The 6,930-nt window shown below is 45.3% G+C and overlaps 1 protein-coding gene and 1 long non-coding RNA gene across 9 annotated transcripts in view, besides 7 other annotated features; one reads left to right on the top strand and one right to left on the bottom strand.

The window, feature by feature from the left end:
- RALGPS2 (Ral GEF with PH domain and SH3 binding motif 2) overlaps positions 1-1,049 on the bottom strand; it is a 196,597-nt gene extending 195,548 nt beyond the window's left edge. For 6 of the 8 annotated variants that reach the window (NR_174383.1, NR_174384.1, NM_152663.5 and 3 more), the window contains exon 1: positions 874-1,049. The gene's annotated coding sequence lies outside the window, so the exon portion shown is untranslated. Of the gene's footprint in view, positions 1-87 lie in introns of all 8 variants that reach the window. The other 2 variants (XM_047423755.1, XM_006711410.4) reach the window with 2 other exon arrangements.
- Positions 9-3,284, top strand: RALGPS2-AS1 (RALGPS2 antisense RNA 1). Its single transcript, NR_187252.1, has one exon. It is a non-coding gene; the product is annotated as an RALGPS2 antisense RNA 1 (long non-coding RNA).
- Positions 110-699: an enhancer, noted in NCBI's record as "H3K27ac hESC enhancer chr1:178694729-178695318 (GRCh37/hg19 assembly coordinates)". NCBI's record gives its function as "activates a minimal SCP1, AML or CMV promoter by ChIP-STARR-seq in primed H9 embryonic stem cells {active_cell/tissue: H9 hESC(primed)}" and the evidence as "EXISTENCE:reporter gene assay evidence [ECO:0000049][PMID:30033119]".
- Positions 110-789: a biological region, named in NCBI's record as "H3K27ac hESC enhancer GRCh37_chr1:178694729-178695318".
- Positions 240-469: a silencer, noted in NCBI's record as "silent region_1581". NCBI's record gives its function as "represses an Ori minimal core promoter by ATAC-STARR-seq in GM12878 lymphoblastoid cells {active_cell/tissue: GM12878}" and the evidence as "EXISTENCE:reporter gene assay evidence [ECO:0000049][PMID:35858748]".
- Positions 670-789: a silencer, noted in NCBI's record as "silent region_1580". NCBI's record gives its function as "represses an Ori minimal core promoter by ATAC-STARR-seq in GM12878 lymphoblastoid cells {active_cell/tissue: GM12878}" and the evidence as "EXISTENCE:reporter gene assay evidence [ECO:0000049][PMID:35858748]".
- Positions 1,050-1,219: a silencer, noted in NCBI's record as "silent region_1579". NCBI's record gives its function as "represses an Ori minimal core promoter by ATAC-STARR-seq in GM12878 lymphoblastoid cells {active_cell/tissue: GM12878}" and the evidence as "EXISTENCE:reporter gene assay evidence [ECO:0000049][PMID:35858748]".
- Positions 1,050-1,275: a biological region, named in NCBI's record as "ReSE screen-validated silencer GRCh37_chr1:178694153-178694307".
- Positions 1,121-1,275: a silencer, noted in NCBI's record as "fragment chr1:178694153-178694307 (GRCh37/hg19 assembly coordinates)". NCBI's record gives its function as "represses an EF-1alpha promoter that drives an FKBP-Casp9 reporter gene in an ReSE screen in K562 erythroleukemia cells {active_cell/tissue: K562}" and the evidence as "EXISTENCE:reporter gene assay evidence [ECO:0000049][PMID:32094911]".
- Positions 3,285-6,930: the final 3,646 nt, after the last annotated feature.

Genomic DNA, 6,930 nt, shown 5'->3' with positions numbered 1-6,930 from the left:
TTACGGCTATTTTCCAGAAACTAGTTCCTCGCTCGTGGCTCGCGTTTCTTCCAAATCACCTCAAAAGCACGGTGTTTATGAGCCTACCTAATCCGATACTGCAATGGAATTCCGGATATTTGCAGACAGATCTCCCGGCTTTGCAAGTGTTTGATGAGATACGTTCGGAATCTCCTTTTTTTTCTAGAGCCCGGTTCCAGGCCGTAGAGCAAGCCGACCTGGGGCTGCGGCCCCTGCCCCACACCCGGCCCGCGCGCCCGGCCCGAGGCCAGCACAGGACGCAGCCCCTCCGGGGCCGGGGCTGGCGGGGGCCGCTCGGGCTGCGGGCCGCTCTGCAACAGGTCACCCTGACCGCGACTCCGCGGGTTCGCGGGCGGCCAACTCTGCGGCCAGGCTTCTGGGCGCAGCCGCCAGGGCCAGGGGAGGGGGTGTGGCCCGGCTTCTGCTGGTCCTGGCTCCGAGGTCCGGGATCGGGCTCACCTGAAGGAAGACTGAGGCGCCGCTGGGCGCCAGAACAGAGCGGGCGGAGGCTGGGGGCTTCCGCCACCCAAGAGGGAGAGCGAGGCGGGTTCAAGGGGTCGCAGCGCCCCCGGCTTCAGGACGGCGCCCCCGAGCGGGGACCCCACGGCCGCTCCGACTCTGAGAACCCGCGGCCGAGGGAGGCGCGCCGCCCAGCGCCCTTCTCCCTCAGCCTCAGCCCCAGCTCCGCAGCCCCCTCCCTGCGCGCAGGGCGAGCAGCCCCGGGGCCCGCGGCCGGGAGAGCCACACTCCGCAGCGCCGCCGCCGCCATTCCCCGCGCCGCCCGGGGGGCGCCGCGTACCCACCCTCCCTCCCTCCCTCCCCCGCACCGCCCCGCGGCCTGAGCCCACCGACCTGTGCAGCCGCGGCCGTCGCCTCAGAGGACGGAAAGACGATGCCGGCCTCACGCTTCACCGCCACGGCCGCCGCCGCCTAGAGTAGCACTCGTCGACCCGAACAGTCACCGTCTCTCATTCAGCGCCCGCAGCAGCCGCCGCCGCCGCCGCCGCTGCCGCTCGGGGGAGGAGAGTGAGCTGGAACCACCCCGTCCGCGCCAGGGGTGGGGGACGAGAGCGGACCTGGCGGGGGCGCGCGCCAAGCGGGCGGGGCGGAGCCGCGCGCGCGCGCGCACCAACGGAGCGCGCTCGCGGGGGCTCTGAGAGCTGCAGCCGTCAGGGTCTTAACCTCGCGCTTCCCGCCCGCAGCTTTTCGGCCCCGCGGAGCCCAACTGCCGCCGGTGATCGGTGCCCGCAGCGCGCGCAGCCATCCGCAACCCCACCGCCCGGCGCCTGCTGAAAGGAGGGGCTCCCACCGGCCAAACAACGGGGGGGGGAAGGGGTAGGAGGATGGACAGGTGGGGCGTCCGCCACCGCCTGGCCACCCGCTCCCGGAACGCGGCCCTCTGTGAAATCCGCCGTGATGTCTGTGGCCTTCAGCGCCGGGCTCTTCACCTTTAAGGCCAGAGAACAAAGTCTGGAAGCACTTGGCCCCAAGATCAAATATCCAGCCCACGCCAGCGGTGTTTTTAGAAGTCACTGAGGACAAATGAGGGGGCTCCCAATGTGGAGAGTCACCCCACTGTCTTAGATAAGGTCATAAATTATGGTGATCAACATCCTCACACATTAAGATTCGGGAAGTGTTAGAAGTAGGCCTTTGTAAGATGTTACGCAGGGTACTACCCTTGACTTAAGGAGCAAATGACAGAAATTGGGCGGAAAGGTGTTGTTTCAGAGTCTACTAAATGGGTGGCCTACTTAAAGCTAGCACCATTTGATGCAGTGTGACTGTTAACGGAAGGTTTTAAGTGAGCCGCCTTTGTATCTGCTGTCATTAGACCATTTGGAAATGGATAATTATTTGATGATCTGCAGTTCTTTCTCTAGGCAATGTGCAGTAGAATGTGGAAAGAATACTATGTACCAGCATTAAGTGTAAAACATGAAAGGACCAATAATTCACTATTCCCATTTGGTTTCTTTCTTCCCTTTAATAACCGCTAAACAGAACTGATTAATCTTGAACGTTGAAGATTGCTAATTATTTCCTCCTTTGATTGCCTTCTGTCATAGCCCTTTTACTCTAGTTGGGGACGCTAGAATGCCCTTCAACCTCCTTCTCTCAAATAGGGTTACTTTAAAGCACCCCAACGCAAAGTTAAGTCAAAAAGAAAAACAGCGAGGATAGGCAACAAAGTTCGTAGTGTTTCATTTTTATTCCATTTTACTTTCAAAGAAAGTCTTGAATCATGACGAAATCACTAGAAGAAGTAGAGCAATCAAAAGAAGAAAAAAAGCGTTCCCCCCCACCCAATATTTCAAATGACAAGAGTCCAAAAAAGAAAAGAAAAAGGAAGATGATTGGTAAAAAGGAGGGAAGTGCATTATGTATACAGAAAGTTTTCGCATAGATGTTAGTTGCTTCAAGTCCCAAATAAACAACAACTAAATGAATTAGCACTTGGAGGAAAAACCCCTTCCAGTTATTGAGTTGGGTAAATGTTTAGTCTTCTTAAAGTGTTACTAAGAGATTAAGGAAAATGTCGTTGGCTATATGCCAACAATAATACATGCAACATACATACCATTATCACACATAATTAACTGCTCTTAAGAAATATGAAAACTGAGGAACGGAACTCTTATGTTGTTAAATGTCATACAATTACTTGAAACTTGAATTAGGGTTTCATAGATATAAATGAGGCAGGGTCCCTACATCTGCCAATAATTTTCACAGCTTATTGTAAAAGCAGTGAAGTTTTCACTTGGACTTTGAAAAGAAAAAAACATATGACTCATGAGCAAGGCCATGGATACACTAAATTCTTATGCCTACTGAATTTGAGTTTGAATAATTACCCCAAATCTGTTTCTCACATTGATAACTTATAAAACAATACTTTTATTAACCTTAAGAGTTGTGTTAAGTTCAAATTTGTGAACTTGGTAAGATTAAGAATTTGTATATAGGCCGGGCGTGGTGGCTCACACTTGTAATCCCAACACTTTGGGAGGCTGAGGCAGGCAGATCACCTGAGGTCAGGAGTGCAAGACCAGCCTGACCAACATGGTGAAGCTGGTCGCTACTAAAAATACAAAAAAATTAGCCGGGCGTGGTTGTGGGCACCTGTAATTCCAGCTACTCAGGAGGCTGAGGCTGGGGAATCACTTGAACCCAGGAGGCAGTGGTTGCAGTGAGCCAAGATCGCACCACTGCACTCCAGCCTGGGCGACAGAGGGAGATACTATCTCAAAAGAAAAAAAGAATTTGTATATAAAAATAGAGAAAAAAGTTTGTCCTCAATATCTTTTATAAAATAAGTGTCCCTTCCCATTCCTTGATAAATGAAAGCAGTGGCTTTTTATACCAAATTTTCTTTACCAGAGCACTTTTATCACAATTAAATTCTGTATGTTGCTTTATGGATTCCAATTGCTTTTGCCAAAATACAAGAAATATGCAAAGTCTTAGTATAACAAAAAGTACTAATGTATAAAATAGAAATGCCATTATATGAAATAGAAATCGATAAGAATTCAATATGCTTAAAAGTCATTTCAGAGGAATCACCATTATGTAATAGTTTTATTACTATCCATCCAAATTATTTCCAAGGGGCAAGCCAAGGAACTAATTTAGATATAGAACAAACAGTTCAAAGAGACCACCACTGCAGTAAACCAATCAACAAGCAACACAATTCATTACAGCTGTCAAAACAAAATCAAACTGGCATGGTAAGAAAGCTTATTTTTTCAGTAATACTTAATTCTATTACAACCAAAAGAATTTCAGTAATAACATATACCTTTGTTATTTCTCTAACCTTTCATCTCTTTTTTCAAATGTATATAGTGGCTGGACATTTTGAAGAAATTTGTTGGTTGTGTTTACGATGTCACAATTTAAAATAAAGGCAAAGTTAGCATTCCCAAAATTCACCTTGAGGGAAAGGACGCATAAGGGAACTTCCAAGGGCTAGACAGACATTCTCCAGAAAACTGACACTATGGTACAAGGAGAGCCTGCCGTAATTCCCAATCGACAGAGATATGTCACAAGTCTTCAGATACCAAAACAAAGATAATCAACAGTCCGTTCAAATCTGAGCACCATATTAATTTTACAGTTACATTTACAGTTAAGCTGCATCTCAAAGGGGCAACTCTATGTAGGGTGTTAAGCAGCAGGGATTTATTTGCTTAATGATGGTTAATGTTTTCCTAGACTAATTCTTCAAAAGGCCGGAAAGTATATAAATGTTTGCATACACTAATGCTTTTCAATATTAATTTTAAAGATAGTTTTAGTAGGGCCGGCACAGTGGCTCAGGCCTGTAATCCCAGCACTTTGGTAGGCCAAGGCTGGCGGATCACGAGGTCAGGAGATCGAGACCATCCTGGGTAACACGGTGAAACCCTGTCTCTACTAAAAATACCAAAAAAATTAAAAAATTAACTGGGCGTGGTGGGGGGGCGCCTGTAGTCCCAGTTACTCAGGAGGCTGAGGCAGGAGAATCGCTTGAACCTGTAAGGCGGAGCTTGCAGTGAGCCAAGATCATGCCACTGCACTCCAGCCTAGGCGACAGAGCAAGACTCCGTCTCATAAAAAAAAAAAAAAATAGTTTTAGTAATGACTTGTTTATCTGACAGTATTAGGAAAGGGGGCAGTAAAGGATTAGATATAATTAGATATTCTAAATAACTGAGATTTTCATCTTGAAGTACTAGAAACAATTTAAACCACTTTTATTTATTTTTCCTGAAATATCACCAACTCCGTCTTAAACTAATAAAACACAGCACAGTTGTCTTGGTATCCACAGGAACTTCCGGGATACCCAAATCTGTGGATGTTCAAGTCCCTGATATAAAATGGCAGAGTAGGTCACGCATGTAATCCCAGCACTTTGGGAGGCCGAGGTGGGTGGATCACGAGGTCAAGAGATCAAGACCATCCTGGCCAACATGGTGAAACTCCATCTCTACTAAAAATACAAAAATTAGCTGGGCGTGGTGGCGGGCACCTGTAGTCCCAGCTACTGGGGAGGCTGAGACAGGAGAATCGCTTGAACCCAGGAGGCAGAGGTTGCAGTGAGCTGAGATCGCACCACTGCACTCCAGCCTGGCAACAGAGCGAGACTCCGTCTCAAAAAAATAAATAAATAAAATGGCAGAGTATTTGCACATCACCTATGCACATCCTCCCCTATATTTCAAATCATCTTTAGATTACTTATAATCTCTGATACAATGTAAATGCTATGTAAATAGTTCTTAAACCATATTTTTAAATTTATATCATTTTTTATTGTTGCATTGTTATTTTTAATTTTTTTCCCTAATATTTTCCATCTATGGATGTGGAACCCATTGACATGGAAGGCCAACTATATAGCTGAACCTATTTCTGATAGCCTAGAGGTACCTCAGGAACAGGTAAAGTTAAAAAACAAAAGCTATAGTACCAAGATATCCTCAGGAGCCAACAAGTACTGTACTTAGTACTCTTCACCATACACTAAGTAATCACAGCCTTCTATGTTCCTGCACTCTTCTGAGTCTAATGGATTTGGTGGCCCTCATAATTGATCTTTCTGCTGTGCCTTCTTGTTGCTGCCCCTGCTGCTACAGGTTAGCTCTGCACACACATTTCACACACATACACCTCCCCTTGAATTGTCTTATCATGTTAGAGTGGGCTGGGGAAACTAACCAATGTTTAAAAATGCATATAAGGCTGGGCACGGTGGCTTACGCCTGTAATCCCAGCACTTTGGGAGGCCAAGGTGGGCAGATCACCTGAGGTCAGGAGTTCGAGACCAGCCTGGCTAACATGATGAAACCCTGTCTTTACTAAAAATACAAAAAATTAGCTGGGCAAGGTGATGGGTGCCTGTAATCCCAACTACTCGGGAGGCTGATGCGGGAGAATCAGTTGAACCCTAGAGGCGGAGGTTGCAGTGAGCTGAAATCTTGCCACTGCACTCTAGCCTGGGCAACAAGAGCAAAACTCTGTCTCAAAATAAATAAATAAATAAATAAATAAATAAATAAGCATATAAAATAAGAAAAGGCTAAAACAACTCTGATATTTTGGGGGCATTTACTTAGTGTAAAGACCTTTCACTTGCTTTGATATTTTCCTCTATATTTTGGATCATTACATTTACCAGGCAACTTTTTTTCCAGATAAGTGAATTATTATTGTATTCTACTTCCTTTATAATATTTTTAAGCATTATTCTTTATATTTAATGATAGGAAAGGATTTTGGTTGAGTGTTCATCTCTATAGTTTTCTTTTTATATATCCTGCATGTTAAAATAGGTTAGAAATTTTTTAAAAAAACAGGAATTCATAAAGGCATACCAATAATTAATTGATAAAACAAATGGAGAAAAAGGAAATACTCTTGCTTATGGTAGAGTGTTGAGAGATTGTTGAAGTTAGAAAATCATCATTTTGCAACCAGTTAGGGCAAAGATTGGGTAAGGCAAAAACCATCTTATATCTAAACATAGGAAGAAATGTTGATGAGGAACAAGATATTTGCATGATCTTAGAGTATTTTTCCATAGACTTCTTATTAGTTGCAAGGAAATGAGTAATTATACACTGGATAAATTGGACAAAACCCTCACCAGGTGATCAAAATTAACATCACAATTGAGGGACAGACGGACATCATTTGCCTCCAGATGTGATTCCCCGAAGACATAGCATATAATGAGGAAATGAGGAATCTAATGAGGAAATACCAGACAAATTCCAAGTGAGCAACGTTTTGTTTTGTTTTTTAAAAGAGGTAAGGGGTGCTGTATCCTTCAAAGATGTCACTGTCATAAAAGACAAAGGCTGTGAAAATATTCCAGCTGAAGAGCCATGACAACTAAATGTAATATGAGAT

This window comes from Homo sapiens, chromosome 1 (assembly GCF_000001405.40).
Source record: "Homo sapiens chromosome 1, GRCh38.p14 Primary Assembly".
Taxonomy (NCBI): domain Eukaryota; kingdom Metazoa; phylum Chordata; class Mammalia; order Primates; family Hominidae; genus Homo; species Homo sapiens.
Note: the sequence above shows the minus strand (reverse complement) of the source record. Positions and strands in the feature narration are given on the sequence as shown.